Raw genomic sequence first — 23,968 nt, 5'->3', positions numbered from 1 at the left:
CCTCGGCTGCCTCGTCTCCAGGATGGGAAGAATAACGACGACAGCAATGCCAGCCTGTTACGAGCTGAACTGTACCCCACAAAGTTCATCTGCTTAAGTCCTAATCTCTAGTGTTTCAGAATATGACCATATTTGGAGACAATCCAATCAAAATGAGGTTACTAGAGTGGGCCATGGACCAACATGACGGTATCTTGATGAAAAGGGGGAATTTGGAAAAGGCATGCAAAAAGAAAAGAAAATACGAAGACACAGAGAGAAGACAGCCATGTACAAGCCAAGCAGAGAGTCCTGGAACAGATCTTTTCCTCACAGCCCTCAGAAGGAACCAACCTCACCCAACACTTTGATCTTGGGGTTCTATCCTCTAGAACAGCGAGACAGTAAATTTCTATTGTTTACGCCACCCAGTTTGTGATTCTTCTTAGGCCAGCCCTAGCAAACTAGTGCACAAGCAGCCTCAGGGGTTTTTGAAAGATTAAATGACACAATTTATGTAAAGTGCCCAGGAGTTCCACAGTGAGCTCTCAAAAATTCACTATCATCATTGTCATATTCATCACAGTAGCAGTGGCATCATCTTCATTGACATTGAAAAGGAAATGGCATCTTCATTGACATGGACATTGAAAGTTATGCCCTCTGTTGAAGCCCATACCAAAACCTTCACCTGTTCCCATTTTAGAGCAGAATGTCTATATGAATGTGTGTGTGTGTGTATTGCATATTTCCATTTCATGATTGTGTGGTGGGGTAAATAGCAACTCCTTACTTCTCTTACCCATAATTGCTTCTCTTGCTCATAAAATGAGGAGTTGGGGTCTGTGTCTAGCACCTTGTAAAGATTTCTTTCCGTTCTAGCAGCAACATTCCTATAACTGAGTAATGATTGCGTAGTATTTTCTTATCAGTGTAGTACTCAGTTCTCCACTTACAGAGGCAGCAGCAAGGACATGAAATCTGGAGTGAGGAAATCAGCATTTCGGTTCTGGATCTGCTATTAAACATTTGCAGGCCTTTCGACAAGTTAATTACCTTTTCTGGACCATCTGCAAAGAGATGGATGGCAGAACAGAGCTCGAGTGATCAATAAAGTCTTTAAGAACCTATGACAAACTAAGATTCTGATGGTCACCTAATTGAGGCAATAACATTCCTTCCATCTGTGGGGAGCCCAATCTTGCTGAACAATGCAGTACATCTCTTACTGAAAAAGTTTTTTTTAATGTAGTTTAATCATCCTCCTGCCATACGATTAGCATTTTCAAGTGGATCTGAGTTAGTTGAAGCAGATGGTTTATCTTCTCTCATAGTGCTTCGACTTGGACATTATATCATTTCTACATCTAACTCCGTCCTTGCAGTGCTCAAGGAATCCTTCCAAATTTTGCGCACTGTGTTTTGACTTATTTAATGCAGACGTACTTTACCCGCAGTAAACATGATTACCAAAATACTTTAACTTGAGAGCTTCTGCTTTCCTCTCTGGTGTAATTAGTCACACTGCACTCTCTCTGCATTTAGGGGAAAAGGGAGGAAAAGAAAACACCACACACAGCATCTTACAAATGTGTCTTTACTTCTCTCCAGCTGCTGGCTCCACTCTTTTGAGTTTTCAGAGTGTCAGACCCTTGGAACAAGGGTAAAAAAGTAGAAAGTTCCCAGAGTTGTCACCTGATTACACACCTTTGAACGCAAGGGATGGAAGCTGCACGTGGGTCGGGTGAGAACTCACCAAGAGAGGAAGCTTTGAAACGGAGACGTCCCCACCCAAGCAATTGGCTTTTGTGCTGCTCTAAGTGTCTCAACATTGGGCCCAAATGTTTTGTCTTCATGACTTGGAAAGAGAAAAGTCCCTTTGAGTAGTAATAGCAACATGAAATCCTAGAACGTCTTACCAGTTTATAACACACCTCACTTTTCAACTTGATCTTCCCAACAGGGAGGTGGCCACAGTAGACATAACTATGCGACCTGTGGAACCAGACATATCTAGATCCCATTCTGGATCTTGGCCAAGACAAATAATACACCTTTCTTTGGGGGATGACCGTGAGTTTTAGAGCTGTAAAGCTGCTAAGAGAGGGTCTTACACGAGGCAGGTTTTCAGTAAGTAGTGCCCATTATGTTTTCACATGAGGAATCTAAGGCCCAGAGCAATTTCATAAACTTGTGAACATCATTTAATATCAAACAGATTCAGGTTTCAATCTTGATTTTTTTCTTTGGAGTCGGCTAGAATTTACATAGAGTGAAACGCAAACATTTACAGCATACTTTTGAGCCTAACCTCTCTGGCAGCACCAAACCCTATTCCCCAGACACCTCAAGCCACAAAGACTGCGGCTTTCCACCTGAGACCCAGCTCGTGTGCTGCACAAACTTGAGTGCTCCAGGGGGACACAGCATCCCTGTGGACACTCTGTGTCTCCTGCACCTGGTTCTCATGCAGTGAGCGCTTCCCTGCTCTCAAGGGGGAGAGCCTCCCATTTCTGCCTGCTGTTGGCCGCTCTGCAGTGGCTTCAAATACACACTCACACTCACACACGCACCACCCACCCACCCACATGCAGGTTTATTATCTGATAATAAGCTGCTCCACAATGACCACATTCCCAAAACCCAATCTAATTTTTTTAATGTTCTTTTGACTAACACTCATTTTCCAAGGGATGAGAAATTCAGAAGAAATACACACATACACACACGCACACACACACACATCTGCATAGAAATATAAAGATAGATACATGCACATTACCTGGCATTATTTGGAAAAATTGTAGCCATCCCCAACCAGGAACAGATTAGGAAATTTTTTGAGTTCTGTCTTTTTTTCCAAAGATGCTGACTTTCTCGTAATTATGCCAGATAGCAAAGGAATATTCTAAGTCTCCCAAATGCTTGTAACAGAGAGAGAGTCAAGAAGTATGAGGGGGTCTTAGAGATTTCCTTAGCATTCTAAAAGCGCTTATGAGTGCAGCCAATTTTCTCTTCTGCTGAATACACATTTCAAAGAAGTCATCTCATCCAGTCTCTGGCCTGTAAGTCCAGTGCTGTAATTTTCCCAGAGAAAATAAGGACCCATTTGAACTGGGAGATTTCACACAGCAACAGCCAAATCACTCAAAGATTATGAGAGGTGTCATTTCACATCAGAGAAGCCAAAGGCTGAGAAGGAATGGGGGGCCTTTCAGTGCTGTCTGCCACCATGTGTTCTTTGTGACGACTATGACTTGAGTATGAGTTAATTAGTAACTAATGTGATCTTACAGAAAGGAAAAGAATTCAGCCAGATGCAGTGGCTCTCACCTGTAATCTCAGCCCCTTTGGGAGGCCAAGGAGGGCAGATCACTTGAGGTCAGAGGTTTGAGACCAGCCTGGCCCACATAGTAAAACCCTGTCTCTACTAAAACTACAAAAACTAGCCTGGCATGGTGGCACATGCCTGCAGTCCCAGCTACTCGGGAGGCTGAGGCAGGAGAATCACTTGAACCCGGGAAGTGGAGGTTGCAGTGAGCCAAGATCACACCACTGCACTCCAGCCTGGGTGACAGAGCAAGACAAAAACCAAGAATTTTACTATTAATCTTTTATCGTGAGTGATGTCTGTTACACAATAGGATGTACAAGATTGACTTGACTATTTTTGGATATAGTTTTTGTGACTCTAAAATTATATTTATCCTTTACTACCCCTTCCCCAATTGAAGAAAAAAACAACTGTGTATGCATATATACATATGTATACTTATGTCTATATATAATTGTACCTATATTGAAGGAAGGAACAATGAGAAATCAGCATGTCTGTGATCAGCTAATTTAACCCCCTTATCCTACAGAGAAATTCACTCGGACTATTGTGGCGTAAGATGTCAGCTGTGCTGGCAGAGCTGAGCTACATGCAGCCTTGCCGAGTAACTTTTAACTTTGCTGGGCTTCTCGCCTGTCCTGATAGCACCACCAATCACCTGAAACCATAGAAGTCATCTGAACTCATAGTTTTTTTTTTTTTTTTTGCTTTAATTTCAAAATCTCTCGTGTTTTTATTGTCTTTTTTGCATTTCACCTGTCAATAACCACGTTCAGGTCATGAACCTTAGTCTTCTCATTACAACTTATGAATAATTTTTCTCTACTCCTAATTCTGTACTTTCAACCTATCCTGTACTTTATTGGTAATTCTAGAGATGATTATTTTTAATAATTATTAAATATGTTAGAAATTAATATGTAATTAGAACGTAAAACCTAGGCATTTATGGATAGTTTTGCTTAGGATGGGTCTAAAATCAAGAAAGTGAGTCGATTTAAGTTTAGTTTAAAAGGAATAATAAAATAAAGAATAGTATAAATAAAGTATAGCAGAAACTTAACATTTAAAATACACTGGTGGCAACAAGAACACGGAGTGTGGTGAGACAAATTCTCTTGGCTGCTTGGTTCTGCCATATAAAAATTCTGGGTGAGTCACCTTGCCTCTGTGAGCCTTAGACTTGTCATTAGCAAAATGAAATAATGCTATGCACAAGAATTTATATATATATATATATAAAAAATACGTATACACACACTATATTATATATAATACTATACATATATGTGTATACACACACCATATAATATATAATACTATATATACACATATGTGGTGCCTTTATATCAGTTATGAATGTATTTTACTTTTTAATGGAGTGTCACCTGTCTCTGAGCCTGTTTTCACCTGGGAGATGAGGAAAATCTCCTGTAGGTTTTGACTGATTGTTGCTCCTTCTCTCTGATGTGAGCTAAGAATCTAGGACTTCAGTGGTGCTCAGATAATGAGAAGCAGGCCGGGCACAGTGACTCACACCTGTAATCCCAGCACTTTAGAAGGCCAACATGGGCAGATCGCTTGTGCTCAGGAATTTGAGACCAGCCTGGGCAACATGGCGAAACCCCATCTGACCAAAAATACAAAAACTTAGCTGGGCGTGGCGTGGTGGTGTGTGTCTGTGGGAGGCTGAGTTGGGAGGATCCCTTGAGCCCAGGGGTTGGAGGTTGCAGTGAGCCAACTGTGCTGCTACACACCAGCCAGGGGACAGAGTGAGACAAAAAGAAAAAAAGGAGAGAGAGAGAGAAGGAGAGAAAGAAAGAAAGAGAAGAGAAGAGAAGAGAAGAGAAGAGAAGAGAAGAGAAGAGAAGAGAAGAGAAGAGAGGAGAGGAGAGGAGAGGAGAGGAGAGGAGAAGAGAAGAGAAGGGAAGAGAAGAGATAGAAGGGAAGGGAAGGGAGGGAGGGAGGGAGGGAGGAAGGAAAGAAAGAAAGAAAGAAAGAAAGAAAGAAAGAAAGAAAGAAAGAAAGAAAGAAAGAGAAAGAAAATAAAAAAAGGAAAAAGACTTACTTCACAGAGATTGTTGTAACCTCATCCCACAAGATGCTGCTGTGGAGGGTTCTTCTCAGGGTGCCTCAGACTTTCATTTTCCACTTTGAAACACATCTGAAGACATTTATGACAGATTCAGAACATGAAGTCCTGGCAATATTCTTAGGATGACAAGAAATTTTATTTTTTCCTTAATACTCTCATAGTAGCAAGAACCACATCCACGTGAATCTCAATAGTTTCCTGCAACACGGGTAACAATATCTGGAAAGAGCACACTGGATACATATCAGCTATTCCGAACATCGGCAGCAGTATTATATAATGCACACTTCTCTCCTCATTCCATTCCATCTTCTGAATCCTTGATGACTCCTCTCACTCCCTGGGTTAAGCCTAATCTCCCTGTCTAGGCATTTAACCCAATCTGCTTTAAACACAGCCTACTTCATCAGCCATATCTCATGAAGCCCTCTACAAAAGGACCACCTGAACAGGGCCAGAACCACAAATATATGTTGTCTGAATTCATACCCATCTGTATCAAACCTGGTGACATTTGAGCGATCATGGGTGTGCTCAACTCTATCTCCTCATGCCTACTCAAATCATTCCTAGGTAATTTCCTCCTGTTTTTCCCATATCATAATTTGCTCCCTTCCTATGAGTCTTTCTCCTAGATATACAGTCTGTAGCTATTTTAAAAAGTTACTGACCCCCTAACTACAGATTTATGCCTCTACTCTCCTTGAATGCCAAATTCCTTGGAAGTCTCATGCCCATCCACTGTTTCCACTTCTACAATTTTCTCTCGAAGGATTGGCCACACACTACACCAAACAACCCTTACAAGGTGGTAAACATGGTGACATCCAATGTTCAATTGTCATTCCTCGTCCTACTTGACTTTGCAACAATATTTACTGTATTTAATATTTCTTCATTTTTAAAATATTTTTTTCTACCTGGATTCAAGATAATACAGATCGTTTGCTTTCTTCCTTCTCACTGGCCTTCCTCCTAAGTGTTCTTTGCTGGTTCCTCCTCCTTTCCCTGACTCCTGAACACTGTGGCATCCCTGGTCTTAGCACCCAGACTACTCCTGTCCTCTGTACTCATGTGTGACATCCCAGGTGTGACATCATCCAGCCTTCCTCCTTTAAACATATCTCAGCACTGACAGTCCTAAATGTCTATCTCTAACAAGACCCCTTTCCTTCTGAACCACAGGCTCATATATTCAGCTACTTCTTGACATCACCTCTCTGATGTGTAATAGGCACCTCAAGCATCTCAAACACAGCATGTCTGAAGTGAACTCCTCCTTGGCCCCACTCACCAAACTTGTGTGTCTCACTGTTCAGCTATCTCAGTCAATGGCAGCCCCATCCTACCATTTGTTTAGTTTCTGGCAGCATGGTTGACTCTGCTCTCTCTAATGCCCCACGTTCACTCCCTAGCAAGATTCGACTTTCAAAACACATCCAAGTCTGGGTGCAGTGGCTCACACCTGTAATCCCAGCTACTCCAGAGGCTGAGTAGAATCACTTCAACTCTGGAGGCGGAGGTTGCAGTGAGCCGAGATCACACCACTGCACTCTAGCCTGGATGATGGAGTGAGATTCTGTCTCAAAAAAAGAAAAAAAATCCAATCTTGGATCGTTTGTCTCTGCTCCCCTGATACTCCTATGGTTTGGGTCACTGTCATCACTAACCTGATTATTGAAATAGCATCTCACACAGTCTCTCTCTGTACATTTCTGATTTCCTACAGTCTATGCTCACCAGCAGTCAGAATGATTCTTTTTATTTTTATTTATTTATTTATTTATTTATTTTGTTTATTTGTTTTGTTTTGTTGTGAGATGGAGTCTCGCTCTGTCACCCAGGCTGGAGTGCAGTGGCGTGATCTCTGCTCACCGAAATCTTCGTGTCCCACGTTCAAGCCATTCTCCTGCCTCAGCCTCCCGAGTAGTTATTTCAAAACAACTTAACATGACCATTATGTAGGTGATTAACTCAATTTAAGGAATGCTGTCTTGTTGGGAAAAATGTCTATTACATAGTAGTCTCATAATATGTTGGAAATACATGTTAAACAATGCATTTATACCTTAAGAAAAAGAAACATCACACTGCATAGCAAGAAAAAATGTATTCAAAAAGCAAAGAAAGTTTATTCTATTATTTAATTATGATAACATTAAAGTTATATAGTTATTTAAAAATCAAAATACTATCTTAACAAGCCCATCAGAAACAGGCAATCCAAAATTCCTCTTTGTGGCTAATCTAACTAAATCAGGTGTTCCCTCTTTTAATAAAACTTTCTTTGTTTTGAAGATATTTCCCTCAAGTGTAGAGGCTGATGCAACAAATAAAGAAATTTAGCCTCTGACCTCCAAACTGAAATGCAGAAAGTAAGGCGGTGTCAAGGTGTCAAGGCAGTAATTAGAAGCCACAGAAGAAGATTAACAAGGGAGACTGTGGCCGGGCATGGTGGCTCATGCCTGTAATCCCAGCACTTTGGGAGGCTGAGGCAGGTGGATCACGAAATCAGGAGTTCGAGACCAGCCTGACCAGAATGGTGAAACTCCATCTCTACTAAAAATACAAAAATTAGCCAGGTGTGGTGGCATGCACGTGTAGTCCCAGCTACTCAGGAGGCTGAGGTAGGAGAATTGCTTGAACCTGGGAGGTGGAGGTTGCAGTGAGCTGAGATTGTGCCACTGCACTCTGGCCTGGGCAACAGAGCCAGACTCCCCCTCAAAAAGCAAAAAACAAAAAAAAAAACAAGGGAGATTATGAAACCACGAGTCAGCCTAGTTGAATATTCCATATTTGTTTATTTCAACATCAACACTGTTGTGTATTAAACATTGCAATAGGAAATAATGCTATGGAGATGAACAAGACACATATCTGCCCTCCGGGAGCTCAGAGCTTGGTGAGATGGGAGTGTGAGCAGCTGATGATTCCCCAGCAAGCTCTCCGATGGAAGGAAATGCACACAGAGGCTGTGGATGACCACAGCTGGGGAGTGGTGATGTCTCAGTGAAAAGGACAGCTGAAGTGAGTCCCGAGGGAATGGTGGCATTTAGGGATCAGTGTGTGCTGAGTTGTCCTCTGAAGGACATACACTATCTGTGGAACTAGGAGTGATAAGAGATGAGCCAGGAAGATTCAGTGGAAATCCCTTCAAGGGCCCTGTGGCCATACCAAGGCCTTTGGGTTTATCCTATAGCAGAGTGTGAGGCTGGGAGAACCATGTGGGTGGATGGCTAAAGGCCACCTCTCATTCTGAAAAGGCAAAGAAGACTTCTAAGAGGTTACCCTGTTTGACACATGGAAAATGTTCAGAGATCCTATGGGAGTGTAGAGACCTGAGAACAGAAAGTCACACGGCAGGATCAAGAGAGGGAGGGGAGGATTCCTAGCAGGTGATTCTCCAAGTTCTTACCTCCTCACCTCACTCTCACAGATATCCTATGAGGTGGGATTTTTTTTTTTTTTTTTTTTTTTTTTGAGACAGAGTCTTGCTCTGTCACTCACGCTGGAGTGCAGTGGTGTGATATCGGCTCACTGCAACCTCTGCCTCCCGGGTTCAAGTGGTTCTTTTGCCTCAGTCTCCTGAGTAGCTGGGATAACAGGTGTGCACCACCATACCTGGCTAAGTTTTTTGTATTTTCAGTAGAGACGAGGTTTCACCATTTTGATCAGGCTGGTCTCAAACTCCTGATCCACCCGCCTCGGCCTCCCAAAGTGCTGAGATTACAGGCGTGAGCCACCATGCCCGGCCCAGGAGGGGATTTTTATTCCCATTTGACCAGTGAGAAAATCAGGACTCAAAGAGAATAAGTAACTTGTGAGAGGTGGGGAAGGGATTTGGGCGTGAGTCCCTCTGACCTCAGAGTCTGTACTCTTGTCTTTTATGTTAGGGGAATTTACAGCGTCTGGAAGGATCTAAGCAGCTTTGTTCCTACTGTAGACATCATGTCTCTGCCATTTAACCTCACAGAACTTTCCTTTCCATTTGAGCATGATGGTTTGGATAACGTTGAAAGAACATACTCGATTCTGTCCATGTGAAAAGGAAACAGTCAAATAATTTCTGTCAAAACCCAATCAAGGAAAAGAGAGAGAAAAAAGAGAAACACAAGTTTAATTCCAGTTTCCATTGTGCATCCCCCATAAGATCCATAAAAACCTCCTCTGCCAACAAAGGCATGGTCCAGTGTCAAAGCTTAATGGGAAAAGTGAGTTCAGGGAGGCCAGGCCTGGGCATGAGAATCACATTTTCCCACTTCTCTCTCCAGGTCCAAGGCAGGAGACTCATTAAAGCCAACAGAACTGGCAGCAAATGACCTCTCATAGCTAAAGATGCACGCTGAAATGTACAGGGAACCACAAAAGAGCTCGGTCCATTTCCAGGACCCAAATGGAGGTGGCAGGATGGGTTCATTAGATAGACGTGGCCATCTTAGTCTTCAGAAGAGCCATGTGGAAGTCGATTTGTTTCAGGAAGAGACACGCTGTCTGGGCATCTGCAGCAGAGCTGACCTGTGGTTCCCAGGACCATGCTGGAAGGTCAGCCTGTATTGCTACCGCCACCTACATGTCTCGGTCACTCTAGAGAAAGTCTGAATTTTTGCTTAAAGAGTCATCTTTTCCAGGAGAATCACCTTAAGAAAACCCTCTTCAGCATTAGAATTTCTTAGGTTTAACAGAAGAAGAAAAAAGGAGAGAAAGAAAGAAGTGAGAGAGGGAGAAAGACTGTGTGTGCCGAGCTACGAAATCCAAGGGTGATAAATGGAAGAAAAGTTCACGGGGTGATAATTGGGGTGAAGGGATGATCAAATTTTGTCAAATTGCCTTTCTATGTGGAGTTTTAGAATGGAATTCAAGTAGCGTTTAGCCAGTGATGACTGAGCCAGCCACTTCCATGTACGCTGCCTTAATTCCTCTTCCTCAATCCCTGTGTGGTATATAACCTTGGCTCAACACTGCAAAGGAGACAACAGAGGTTCAGAGACACTTTATAGTTCATTCAAGGGCATACTGATGATGGCAAGTATCTGTATCTGAGTCAGGCCTGAAACTTGTTCCTCCCAATTCCAAACTGGTGCATTTCCCATACCATCTGCTCTCATGATGGGACCCTCCCTTGCTGCAGAAGCTCAAGGGCTAGCTCATTTCTCAACCATCTGCTCACATAGTGCCTAGGAGAAGTACTCCAATCCCTTCCCACGGGGGAGAAGACTTCTTTGTGGAAGAATAGCCCTCCAGTGTAAAGACAGTCCACTCTGCTGCAACTGGGAAGCCCTATCTGGTATCTTTCTTATCTTTGGATGGCAATGGATTTGTGGGATGGGGAGAGAATGGCAAAAGCTGGGGTGGAAAGATGAGTAGGTGATCTGTGGGGGGACTTGTGTGCCAATGGTGATCCTGTTCATTCATCCATGAGCCACTGAAGAGCTTACAGCAGGAGTGGTACAAATCTTGATTTTTATTTATTTAAGAAAAGCCATTGTTGGCCACGAGAAGGGTGGGCCACAGGTAGGACTGCTGGCATGAGACTTGGTCACATCAGTTTATTATTGTTTCATCATCCTGTCAAGGGATTGAAGCTCCTTCTCTTTAGCAAATGGAGGGGTGAGATTTCCAGGGGAGACGTTTCCCTGCCATCACCCCTTGATCTGTTTGAAAAACCAGACAGGTGAGCTTAAAAGGAACCACCTGCATACTCTTTAAAGAAAGTTCCTCTTATATTCCTCTAGAGTAGAAGCCCAAAACTCTAGTTACTTCATGGAAATGTCTTTCCTTGTGGTTTTCCAGACAGTTTTGGCTGATGCCCAGCCTTCTGAGTAGGTAAAATAATTTTCTGGAAAGTATCCGAATGATTCAGCACATCCACTGAGTTTCTAGTCAGGAGTCTGGCCCTGTCCCTGGTGATGGAGCTTCTGTTTTTGATTCTCCCCTTTTACTGGTCGGCACCAAATTCCCCCTGGTTGACACCTTAAATGCCAGTTCAAATGCTGCCCTCTGATACTTTCTTTTCAGAATCAAGGCTCAATTCCAAACAAGTTCCTGTTTAAAGAACAGACAAGAAAGAGCATATTGAGGCAAAGAGGTTAGAACTGAGATGTGGAGAGGGGAAAGAATGAAAAATAAATAAATAAAAAGAGGAAAAAGGGAGGTGAAAGAGGCTGAGATCCGGCTACCAGCCCAGACCCCAGACTTGCATGGCTGGGCGCCCAAGGACACCGCACCTGTAGACTCCGGAGGCAAATCCAAAGTGACTCTCTCCTCAAAGCATTGTGCACCCTGGATTTTCCATTCATAAATGCTAAAATGGCCATTGCCTACCCTGCACCTAGGATTTCAACCTGGAACTTTTCACACCCTCTGTGCATTTCCTGGAGACCCTTCCCATCATCCACATGATCTGTAGGAGCACCACGGTCCTTCAGTTCTGCCAGCTAAGCTGCTCTTGAATTCGCCTTCATCCAGATGGACTTTTTCAGAAGGCCTCCTTGGCCTGGGCAGCCGCAGCCTCCAGCATTGCTCCTTTCTCTCTGCAGCAGGAGTGATCTTTCCAGGATGTTTATCTGTATCTGTCAGGTGGCTGTTCCGCCCCTGCTTAAAATTCTCCAGCAGGACTTCAGAGTTGCCAGGGTGAAATGCAGAGCCACTGGCTCACCCTCCCTGGTCTGATCCTGTGCATGTCTTCTAAACTTATCTCTGGCACCATGGCCATGTGAAATAGTCGTTCCAGCATTTCCTTAAGCATATATTTTTAATCTTCTTTTGCCTCCTATTCCCTCTATTTGAAATGTCACCCACACCACTTCCCCATTAATAGCTGCTTTTCTGTCTTGCTAGCTCCTACACATTTGCACATCACCTGGACATTATCGGCACCTCAAAGCCTCTCCTGGCGTTGTTCCTTCCAGAGTGAGGTGCCCCTGTCGGTTCTCCCATAAAACCATGGGTTGCACTGCATGTAGCTCTCTGGACTCTGATCATTGATTTACTTTCCTTTCTCCCTTAGTCACCTTTGAGTTCCACGTGCTGTCGGCCCATCTCAAACTCATGACACAATTGTTGACACATAGATGGTAGCCAGTGCTTGTCAACTAAAGAAGAGAATGGGAAAGGAAGAAGACAAAAGTGACCAAAGAAAAAAAACAGGTAAACTCAGTGCTGATGTTAAAAAATCAAAAGATGTTGTGCTGCCTTGAGAAGGTTTTTGCACACTTAAATATGGGTCAAATATTAGCATGTCAAAAAAGGAGAGGCACACAATGTTACCAGACCCCTTTCCTCCCTGGGCTGCGTAGGAACAGTGGTAACCTCAGCCTTCACAGAGAGAGACATCTTCCTGGAATAACCTGCATGTCAGGGCGGTATGCGGTATCCTACCCACGCCTGGGTGCTGCGTTAGCCTCCTGTTTCCTGTCTGCCCACTCACATTTGATTTGACCTCTTTCTCACCAGAAAAGCTATATTCTCTCACAACATATGTTTTTTTTTTTAATTCTACCCATCCTTCTAAGATGTTCGCATCTCTCTTTAACATTTGTCAAAATGGCTTCACCTCATGACTTTATTTTGCAAATTCACTTATTTAGAGGCTTGTTAAAACAGACCTGCCCTTGCAATTTAGGGATGCAGCCACCAGGTGGCAGGATGGTGCTCAAACTGCAGGATGCAGGCTTTCCCTGAATTCCTCAGGATTCAGGTTTCCAGTCAATGCAAGAAGCCCTTCTTCCGTCCCTTCAGGATCAGCCTGCTCTCTGCAGGGCGCTTCCAGGGACAAGGCCTCATGAGGACAGCCCACTCCATAAACAGGTAAATCTTGGGAGTAGAGATACTCTGGAGCAGGTCAACAATATTTACTGTGCAAATGCCAGGGACCCAGCATTTGATAAGAGCTGCAGATAAAAAAGATGCTGAAGAGGTTCTCTTAAGAGGAAATCTCATTTTAAGAGCTCACATCACCTAAAATGTTTTCCTTTAACTCAGGTGGAATGCTGCCTTGATCAAGTGCAGTCTCCTTCCCAGCTCTGCAATGCAAGCGCACCCTGGACCCTGACTTCCCCATCCTCCTTTTATGCAGTCTCAAACTGATGTGTCATCGCTCCACAGTCCCTCAAGCCCCCAAGCTTCTCCCTCCTGCCTAGCTCCTTCCCTGGCCCCCAAAGAAGGCTGACAGGAGAAACTAAACTGAAATAAAGAGGCCATGGTAGCTCTGTTTCCTAAGATGTTTTGTTCTTTTTCTACCCATAAGGGAATGATTCAAAATGTCCCTCCACCTGGGTCCAACCGGTTTGCCTGAAGTTAATTCACTCACCAGCTGTTAAGGCTGCTTCTGTCCTTGGGTGAAATTTGGCTGGCTCACCCACTCTTCGGAGCTACAACTGGGCCTGGCCTCATTAGAAGCCATGTGGCCTCTGTAGCTGGCACCGTGGCTGTCCCCCGAGTCAGCCGGGATTGCATCAGCTCCTCTGATGGCCAGAAGCAGATTTCACATTTTTTCCTCTCTCGAATGTGTGCTGTCTTCTTGCTGCGTTCTGATTTAGCTTCCTATCTCTGAGACACATATTTAGCTCTCGTCTCATTTGCAGAGGTACTGTCATGCTTTTGAACGATGTGGTCTTACTTTTCCAGCTGTTCCATGTCACCAAACCAACATTCTTTGGGGTTACACTTGTGGGGAATTGTCTTCCAAAAGACTATCTTTCTATTTCAAGTTTTGCCTAAGCATCTCCAGCAGACATTATCAATGAGGTAATTTTTGGCAAACTTAAGAGCGTGATCCTGCGTAACAGATGCTTAGGAGAGCACTGACAACTCACACAAGATGATTACCATTCCACTGGCTTGACCCTCCTAGGTTGAGAGCACAAGGGGGAGGGTTTTTTTGATAGAATTGATGAGACTCAAAAAGATCTGATTTTGGTCTTTCAATGTCAGTGGATACCACTCAGGATGTGTTGAACTGGGGAGGGGAGCTGGCCTGCACTAAACACATACCACACGTCCAGCACTCCGTAAGGTAGGCTCAGCTATTTTCAAGGTAAACCTGTAAGCATTCTGTTATTATGCCTTTTAAAAGATGTGAAACTGAAGATCTGAGTCTAAGAAATGTTTAGCCAATGCTGCACAGATCGTAGAGGTTCAAAGCAGGCTATAATTCAAGGTCTTTCTGTATCCAAAGCTTGTGCTCCTCAAAAGCAGTACAATTCCTTTCTAAATTAACTTTGATTTCTTTTTTCTGATTATAAAAGCAAAAGTTGCTAATGTAAAAAAAAAAATGGAAAAATACATAAAAATGTAAACAGAGACCTCAAATCACTTTTAATTCATTAACATTTTGTTATTTTTTTCTTTCCGTACTGGTTTTTCTAGATAACTAATTAGACAGATGAGACAGACAGACAGACAGATGGCCCATAGTATCTTTAACCATTTCTCTATTGTGGTTCTAGTTACATATGTCAAACTGACTTCTAAAAATAAATGAGCAGCAATTCATAGCAGTATATGAGTATATCTATCTCATATCAGAAGAGGCAATAATGTAGTAACTTCTATGGCTTTGGTTTCCCTTCTAAGAGAAATTGACATCTTATTCCTTTAATTACATTACTAACCAGATTGAACAATTTTCAATTTGGTTATTTTTCGTATTTATTTCCATATTTACTTTTCAATAAAAAGTAAATTTTTTAAATTTTCCCTATTAGAGGTTAGATATTTCTTTATTCAGAATTACAGATCTCTTTTCTCATTTTATGGCAAACACATCCATGTTTGTTTTATACAGATCTATAATTCTTTCTTCCTGGCTTTAGAAATGAAAGCTAACTTTTCTTACTTTGGGAAATAATGCCTAACTAACTTCAGGCTAGTCTTTGGGCTAATAGGGAATTCCTACAAGTGCCAGTCTGCAAATGAAAATGAATTCTAGCCAAGTTATTATCATTTTGACCTTTAATTACATGTGTCCTTCTTCTCCCTCCTTTGAAGACCAAATTAAAAAACAAAGCAAAACAAAACAAAACACTTGGTTTTTGTATATCTCCTAAATCTGACAAGCAATTTTTGGCTTCCTCATAAGTTTCTGTTGCTGTTATTCTCCACAGAATTTTTAAAGATATAGTATATAAGGAAAACAATTTTTGTTTGCTTTTAGACACTGTGGTTAATTTTTAAAATTTAGACATTTAAAACTCCTTAAGTAACTGATTTTTGACATTTATTTGTGTCCCGCCAGTTGCTTAGAAGATTAAAACATTCTTTGGAGAAACTCTGTACCCTTTTAAAGATTGTTAATGATATAAAATTTAATATTTATGGTTACTAGTAATCAATCAATACATATTCTTTGAGTTAATGACTGAACTATTCTTTTTTTCCCTCTTCACCTACCCAAATCTTAACCACTTTTCTAGGCTCAGGCTAACCTCCTTGCCCACCCCTACTAGGCTATACAGAAAGTCCTCACCCTTCTTAGAAGCCATATTGTCCTGTTAAATCTCCCTTGGCACAAAGCGAAACTCACTCCAAATATTACTAAACTTTCCATGTGTTTATATTTTATTTTTTCAACTAGCTTCATTAAGTGTGCATCCATTCAATTCAATTTATTGAATGCTTTATTAAGCTTCACTTAAATAAGATTTTGTAAAATTATGTAATTTTTACATACTTGTAAACATACACACATGATATCTTTATTCCAAAAGAGATGATAAGTGGAGGAAATGGGGAGAGTGGGTGCCCTGGTGGTGTGTTTGAGTTGACTTGCACCAGCCTGCAAGAGCCTAGGGTTAAATTTTCAGCAATTTTGTAATTTGGTTGTTAAACACAGTCATTATTAAAAATCAAGTGTACTATTATAACTTCTCTGTCCAACTTTGCCTTCAGTGACATCATGTTGGTAGCTTGAAATTGAGCATGGTAGAAATATTTATAAAACAGAAATTGGCAAACACTGTAAAACAAAACTTGATTTAATGCTCTGTTGATTGACTAGACTTAAGAAAGTATTGCAGAAAATGTCAGTAATGCAGATTAAACCTAATAGTGTGCTGTGCATGTAGCTACTACATTGTGTATAGCAAAAGATATTGAAGAAATATTCTTCCTGTATTTGAATACCATTATCCAATTAGACAAAAAGTTCCTCACATCATTGAACAAAGGGTGAAATTCCGATATACATAGCAATGAACCAGAAACAGACTTTGATTTACTAAATGTATAATAGTTTGTATGAGAATGAGAACTAGTTTAACAATAGATCACATATTGGACTTAATGATAACAAATTTAATGAGGAAAGAGCAGAAAGGGATTCAGTTTCAATTATCAAATCATAACTGAATTGTAACCATAGGTTGGCTACAGATACTGCAGCTTGGCAAAAATCAGTGAAAGTATTCTGTAAGAATTAATTGCTTATGTAAAATTTGCAATAAAGAGTATTGTGTATTTTATTATTTGTAAATTGTGTGATATACATCCTTTATATGAGTAAAGTTTATAATGACATTATATACATGTATATATATTCTAGCAATTTTTATTTGGCGAGCTTGTTGTTAAATATTTACCTGCAAATCACTGTGTGCGTTCTTCATTGTAAAATGCAATCATAGTTGATTTTGAACAAGGGAATGTAGAGCCCTAGCTACGTTATGGGCATTATCTCCCCACTTTTCCTAGAGATGTATCCTCTCCTATTACTTTATAAAATATATGTAGCTTAACTTTTGTTTTCTGGGGGGTAAGGGCATTCAGAATATCCCCATCTCTGCTCTGCCTGTAAAATACCTATACATGCTTTATCTTTTTTTATATCATAAAGCATACAACTAACATATGCTTCTTAAAAAGACACCAGGAAAAAACACTTAAGCTTCATAACTATCAGTGAGACCCCCAAAATAGCATCTTTCAATTTTCCCTACTGCAGTTCTCTAGCTTAGAAATTCCCATACCTCCAGTGCTGACTCTGGTAACTGTCCTCTCCACTAGAAATCCCATAGTGTAGAGTCCCATTCCAAAACAAAAGATACCTAAGGAAAAAAATAAATTTAGATTTTTAAATAAATAAATCAGGACTCATGAAAGCTGCTTCTCAATTTTACATACCCATAACGTTGCCCACTTTGCCCTCAAAGGATGATGATTATTTTGTCTTCAGGAAGATGATCCTTCTGTCTGAAGCTCTTTTGCCTGTTTGTGGTATTTAATGTTGACCCCGCCGTCTACATCTCTGGGTTAAGTCATGGAGGAAGGAAGCCCTGTGTGTGGACAAGGTGCCTGGCTCTGGTGACCTTCTCCATCATCACGTGATCTCACCTATAAACACAGCATCCCAAAGAAGATGACAAATTAAAAAAAAGAAAAAAAGCTTATCTGAATGACCTTCAATCAAAGTCTTCCTCAAGATCTCACTTCCTCTTCTCTACTCTCAAAACCTGAGCCCTAATTTTTTCCTCTAAACCTAAAAAGATACCCAGTTTTGATTGCTAAAATGTTTCCAACACAAGTAAAATAATTCGACTTAATGGATAGAGGATGACTACTGAAATTCATTTATCTCGATTTGGTATATTTAAATACCAAGAAAGATCAAGGAATTCATATTGGCTACATATGCGCTAATGAGATAATCAGGGTTTAATGAAAACCAACAGTTATTAGCTAATCAGTTCAGCTTGGTGACTATTGGTCTGTTATGGCAGGACAAGAATAATTAAGTGATACTTAGAGGTATGAGAAGAATGTTAGTCAGAAACTGATGTATCTACAGAAGGCTCCAAATGGCCGACGTTTAATGGTCCTCTCTACGTTGCCATGACAACTCACTTGGTAACTCGTGTATCCTCAGTTTAGGAAAACAAGGGGCAGAGTGTTCTTAGGAAGGTGCCATCCCCTTTAAGCGGATCTATAAGCATCACAGATGAACAGAACTTTAAACATTCCGCCATGAATATTCATGAAGTAAGTTGTTTTTTGTTGCCTGCCTAGTCAGCAGTCACAAAACACATGGTGTGTGTTGGCAGCATCTTGCCTAGGTAGAGGGCTAGGGACTGAGGCAATGGCAGGAACCAGGACCTGTGAGGCTGACTGACATTTCCATCTGTAGCAAAGGCTGGTAATTAACAGGAAGGAGTATGCCTGCAGCATTGCACCATCTGCTAGGGAAACGGCTCAATAAGAAAGGAACTGGATGGAATCTCAGCAGTGGCGCGATCTGGTTCCGACATGAGGCTGGGCATCTGTTAGCTGAGGAGATAGACTATTAGGAAATTCAACTGGGAATGAACAACATGGAAAGAGAGCACTCTGACCTAGCCCATAAAAGCAACTCTTCAGAAATGGTGTCTTTTTATCTTACTTACCCAAGTCTTCTGAAAATGGTTTGCTCAGGGACCATTACAGATCTGTTTGAAATAACACAATGGTTTCAAAAATGCTGTTTTATTCCAACATGAAATTCTTGAAATCAGGATACAGCTGTCATCTTTTGACAATAGAGCTAATTTCAGAGCGAGGATATGAGGTTAAATTCCTTCTTTTGTTGTTTAGATTGGGGAGCAGCGGAGAGAAACAAAAATGATCATTTAAATGCTATGCTGTTCAAAATTGAGAAGGCAAAAAACCCTGGGATGCCCTGATGGAAACTGAGCAGGTCAGAAATCACCCCAAAATTCTTACAATGTCTTCATATTTCTGTTTTGCTTTTTCTATCTGACATCTGCTTCACAATGCAAATCTTCCTCACTGTGGAAAACCACACTTCTGGGCTTCAGGCATAGTCGTACTTGACTACTTTCGGCACTGTGGTTTCAGGTACCAGATCTAGAAATGGGAGTAAGTGCATGAAACAGATAGTGTCTGTTACTGTCACTGGCCCTGTTTGAGGGCAGGATGAGTAGGGAACACATTTCTGAGGCTTCCCTTTGGCTTGCACCTGCCCTCGCCCCATACTCTTAGGAGGTACATAAACCCCTTCCGCAGTGGAATGCATCTTTGAGAGGAACCAACACACAGAAAACTTGATTTTTCCCATCAGCTTATGGTTGATGCCACTTTTAAGAATATAAATGTGTTATTAATCTTTCAACAATCAGGAAGAAGTTATTGACTCAAACTATCTCAATCAGGTTAGAGGTTCGTGTCTATGAGCACCATTCCATTGACTGAAACTACCGACTCTCACATGAAGTCCAGCAGATGGCAGATGACTCGTGTGTGTGTGTGTGTGTGTGTGTGTGTGTGTGTGTGTGTGTGGCAGTGTTACTAAATTGGAGCCATTGAGTGATATTTACTGAGACCTCATGGTACCATATGGAATTGAAGAATATATAGGCCTTGGAATTTAAATTCCTCTAAGAAAGATGGACACAGGCTTCAGATTTAGAGCCTTTTTTTTTTTTCTCATTCTCTCTCCTCTTGTGAATGCTGATTATTTTGCTAATCCAGGGAAATGCTGGTGTCTGAAAGGGCTAGTGTGAAACAAATAGAAAAAAATCTTATCCTTGTCAGATATGAGAAAGATTAACTGGAAAAAACAGACACTTCATCCAGTCTTGTGTTGGTAAGGTTTAACAACCTCTCCCAGCGGAGAATGAAGAGGTCCTGATTTGTAGCATTTTCCAAATTCTATGCTGTAAATATTCTCACTGTGGCCAATGGCAAACTACCCTCATCTGATCACTGAAGGCAGATTTGGGAGAAGATGGATACCGTCAGCTCTCTGGAACTGGTGGGGGCTGGCTTGAACGCTCCTCTGATTTTATTCCTGCATGCTTCATATATAACAAATTGGTAACACCAGTTTTTGTTATGTTGGTGAAAGTGGTCCTCCTTCCACATATTGAGAGCATAATAGATTTGAATATTGTTTTACTGCCAACAAAATCCATTCATATGCATTAATTCATTTGATATTCATAGCCCTAATGATATAGTCAGAAACGGAGGCTCAGTGACATGCCACAGGCCACATAATTTAGCAAGTGGAGATGTGACTACATTTCTAAGGTAGGTCTTTTCTTATTTAAGAGTTTGCTTCTAGACAGACACCTGTTCATCCCTTGGCATGGAACTGAGCAGCCAACCGGATGAATCCACGCCTTTGTCTCCCTTCCTTTGTATTTCTGTTCTGCGCTCTGTTACTTAGCTGTATTTTGACCTCAACCTTCACCCTTTACCTCATCTCAGCTGAAGTACTTGAAGTTGTCTTAGAGTATGGATAGCAGTGACATGGCGGCACAACTTCACTATTTCTCCTGGCAGACTGGAGTGGCTCAGAGTGCAGCCCTCACATTGCCTTCCCTTGTCCAGCCCACAGGGCCTGGGCAACACTGGGCATCCTCAAATCAGGAACCTAGGTGCCAGGCTGTATTCTAGGGGCTCATTCAATGTTACTTATTGTAAGTTGCAACAATAAAGAATTTAAGAGTCATTAAATAAAGAATTTAAAGAGTCATTAAAAAGTGGAAAATGAGAAGTGCCATTGCGCGTAGGAAGCTGGACAACATCACAGCACTGCAGATGTAAAATGCAAACTTCATGGCTGGAACCCTCAATCAGCTATACAGGATTTTTTAGCAAACACACCAGTATCATTGAGTAGAATTCTATGTGGCAAGTATTTTGCCACTTATAGGTGACACAGACATTAACAAAATAGTCTCTGCTCTCAAACATCTCACCTTATATTGTTCTTCCAGGGGAAATAACTCTGACTGTAAATTCTCTAGGCAGCCATACCACTTAAAGTCACTGTAGTGAGTTAATAGTAAACCAATAATATCATTGTATCTTTGGGGAGTCACTTAAGGGTTACTTGTCGCAAAGTGAGTGCTTCAGCTTCATCATGGAGAAGACCCCCATAATTTGGGAGGTTTCTACCATGATAGGTTACATTGGAAAAATTGATGGCTCAAGATTGAAAAGAGCTCCATTAACTCCAAGGTTGCTGGAGAGCTGAAACCAACTGTCTTACATGGGCCTGTTCCCCCATGTGTGAAGATGACAACTCTGATCCAAAAAAAACCATGAATTTAAATGACTTGGTGGTTGTATGGGTGACTTTTCTCCCTCTCTCTCTCTCTCTGCCTTTTTTTTTTTTTTTAGATGGAGTTTCATTCTTGTTGCCCAGGCTGGAGTGCAATGGTGCGATCTCGACTCACTGCACGCTCCGCGTCCCGGATTCAAGTGATTCTCCTGCCTTAGCCTCCCGAGTAGCTGGGATTACAGGCACTTGCCACCATGCCCAGTAATTTTTGTATTTTTCGTAAAGACAAGATTTCACCATGTTGGCCAGGCTGTTCTTGAATCTGAAACTATTAAACATGAGGAAATGGAACACGGGTTCAGAGATATCTCCATGATATTGACTTTAAGAAACTGATGCTCTTAGAAAATTTGGTTTCTCACCCTTTGCTTCCTTGTTCTCTGTTCTGGTTCTCAGAATCATGAGTGCTTGGAGAGCAGAACTGATCAATTCTCCTTTGAACCTTCCACTCTGCCTGCCCATATAGGGCCTGGTAGGTAGTAGCTAAGTAGTTTTTCATTATTAAATTACATGTAATTTATGGAGGCCTTTTTATTTTTTACTATTTTTTCATTACTTTCTTATTACATGAGTAATGAGCATTCATTTTAGAATAAATGCAAAATTTAAATACAAAGAAATATTTTAAAAACATCTCTTGCTTTATTCCAAAAACTGATGTTAACATTTTAAAAAGATTAATATACTTGCAGAATATTTGTGTATGCTTATGTTTTATCAAAAATATTCTATATTGAACATGCCATTTAGATATTTGTCTTACTTTTTTCACCAAACTTTTTAACATGTATTTTCATGTGGTTAAATGTTCTTCTACAATATCATTTTTAAGTCTACATAGTGTTGCACTACATGGCTGATCAGTTTTATTCAACTAGGCCTTTGGTACTAAACATTCTGGGTTGTTTAAAGTTTTCTCTCATTTTAGCACTTTGGGAGGCTGAGGTGGACGGATCATGAGGTCAAGAGATCAAGATCATCCTGGCCAATATGCTGAAACCCCGTCTCTACTAAAAATACAAAAATTAGTTTGGCATGGTGGCACGCGCCTGTAGTCCCAGCTACTCGGGAGGCTGAGGCGGGAGAATCACTTGAACCCGGGAGGTAGAGGTTGCAGCGAGCTGAGATAGAGCCACTGCACTCCAGCCTGGCAAAAGAGCAAGAACCCATCTCAAAAAAAAAAAACAAATTTTTTTTTGTAAAAGGTTTGTTGAGCATAATTTCACCTAAATTGAATAACCAACCACACATTTACTTTATGATATATTCCTAAAAGTAGAATCGATAGATTACAGGCCTTTGTCCTATTGATATCTCTCCAGAAAAGTTGTATCCTTTTGTGAAGTTATTAATCCAACAAACATTTATCGGTAGTATTATTTGGTTCTATGTTCCTATAGTGTACAAAGAGGGGGCTCAATCATTAAGAGTTATCTATGAAATTTTTCACATTTACCAACAAAGGATCTTACAATATCATTACCCTACACATTTTTATTTAATATTGCCTTACAAAAACTCTACAAGATGTCAGAAAAACAAAGACTTATATCTAGTTCTTTTTATATCAGTCATATTGATTACTACCATACTAATTATGAGATGAAGACTATGAAATACTCAATTTTTTGCAGTGACAGCATTGTGTCTAGCCCTCTTACCTTTAACAATGTGTGGGACAGGGTGTTTTACAGGATGGCTTTCAAAAATCTTGTCTTTAATCAAGCAGTAGTTTTCACATAAATTGATGCTTCACATTCTCATCCCCAAAGATGGAAAGTTCTCCCCATAGCTCCTTGGACTCCCTTTGCCTCTCAGGATCCCTGTTGTTGGCTCCCTCTTGGTGTCTGCTTGGGGTTAGAAGGTGGACAATGCTTCGATTTAAGGCGTGGCTCAATGCCCTGGATCTTAACCGCTTTGTTCTGTGTTCTGTGGAAATGCAGTCAGTGATCCAGCAGATGCTAATTCTAGTAAGAGGACACCATTGTGCTGGATGATAAGCGTGAGTCCTCTTAGGGTAAACATATCTGGCTCAGATCACAGTGGAGCCTCCTTCAATCAAGTCATCTAGAATATTTCTCAGAAAAGCATCCTCCTTGGGCAGTGATGATTGGTGAGTAACTGAACTCTGCAGAGAGGAATCCTCAGAACAATCACATTTAAAACCACTGGCTGTACAACGCTGGGAAGTAAGAGAAAGCTCCGTCCCTGGCTGGCAGGGAGCCAGATCTCCCACAGGAATAAATGATAAAATCACTGCTAGTGTTTCCAAGAAGACAACCAAGTTACATCTTCGATGGCCACTGGATTATAAAGCCCCAAGCCTGCGTTCAAAAGCTGTAAATATGCATTCTCTTCCTGCCCTACCCTTCTGGGGCCTTCAGGCAAAGTTGGAAAGGATGGGAACCAGTTAGGAAAGCAAAGGTTTGAACAGTTCTTAGCATTGGAAAGTCCCAAGGCAAACTATGGTAAGATCCCTAGCGATTTTGGGGCCTGGATT

General features: G+C 41.3%; 2 long non-coding RNA genes across 3 annotated transcripts, besides 1 other annotated feature; one reads left to right on the top strand and one right to left on the bottom strand.

Annotated features, from left to right (window-relative positions):
* Positions 1-10,842: 10,842 nt before the first annotated feature.
* Positions 10,843-23,467, bottom strand: LOC101929510 (uncharacterized). 2 transcript variants are annotated; one of them, XR_007088657.1, is made up of 5 exons: positions 23,130-23,467; positions 18,785-19,244; positions 17,529-17,738; positions 17,375-17,452; positions 10,843-11,453 (listed from the first exon to the last, which is right to left on the bottom strand). It is a non-coding gene; the product is annotated as an uncharacterized LOC101929510 (long non-coding RNA). The 2 variants fall into 2 exon arrangements; XR_007088656.1 differs by lacking the exons at positions 17,375-17,452; positions 17,529-17,738; positions 18,785-19,244; positions 23,130-23,467 and adding exons at positions 12,271-12,502; positions 13,720-14,424.
* Positions 12,927-13,221: a silencer, noted in NCBI's record as "tiled region #5543; HepG2 Repressive DNase unmatched - State 12:CtcfO, and K562 Repressive DNase matched - State 12:CtcfO". NCBI's record gives its function as "represses a minimal TATA promoter and a strong SV40 promoter by Sharpr-MPRA in HepG2 and K562 cells {active_cell/tissue: HepG2 | K562}" and the evidence as "EXISTENCE:reporter gene assay evidence [ECO:0000049][PMID:27701403]".
* LOC107985848 (uncharacterized) lies at positions 13,014-13,628 on the top strand. Its single transcript, XR_001739272.2, has 2 exons — positions 13,014-13,217; positions 13,392-13,628. It is a non-coding gene; the product is annotated as an uncharacterized LOC107985848 (long non-coding RNA).
* Positions 23,468-23,968: the final 501 nt, after the last annotated feature.

Source organism: Homo sapiens, chromosome 2, assembly GCF_000001405.40.
Source record: "Homo sapiens chromosome 2, GRCh38.p14 Primary Assembly".
NCBI classification, from domain to species: domain Eukaryota; kingdom Metazoa; phylum Chordata; class Mammalia; order Primates; family Hominidae; genus Homo; species Homo sapiens.
Note: the sequence above shows the minus strand (reverse complement) of the source record. Positions and strands in the feature narration are given on the sequence as shown.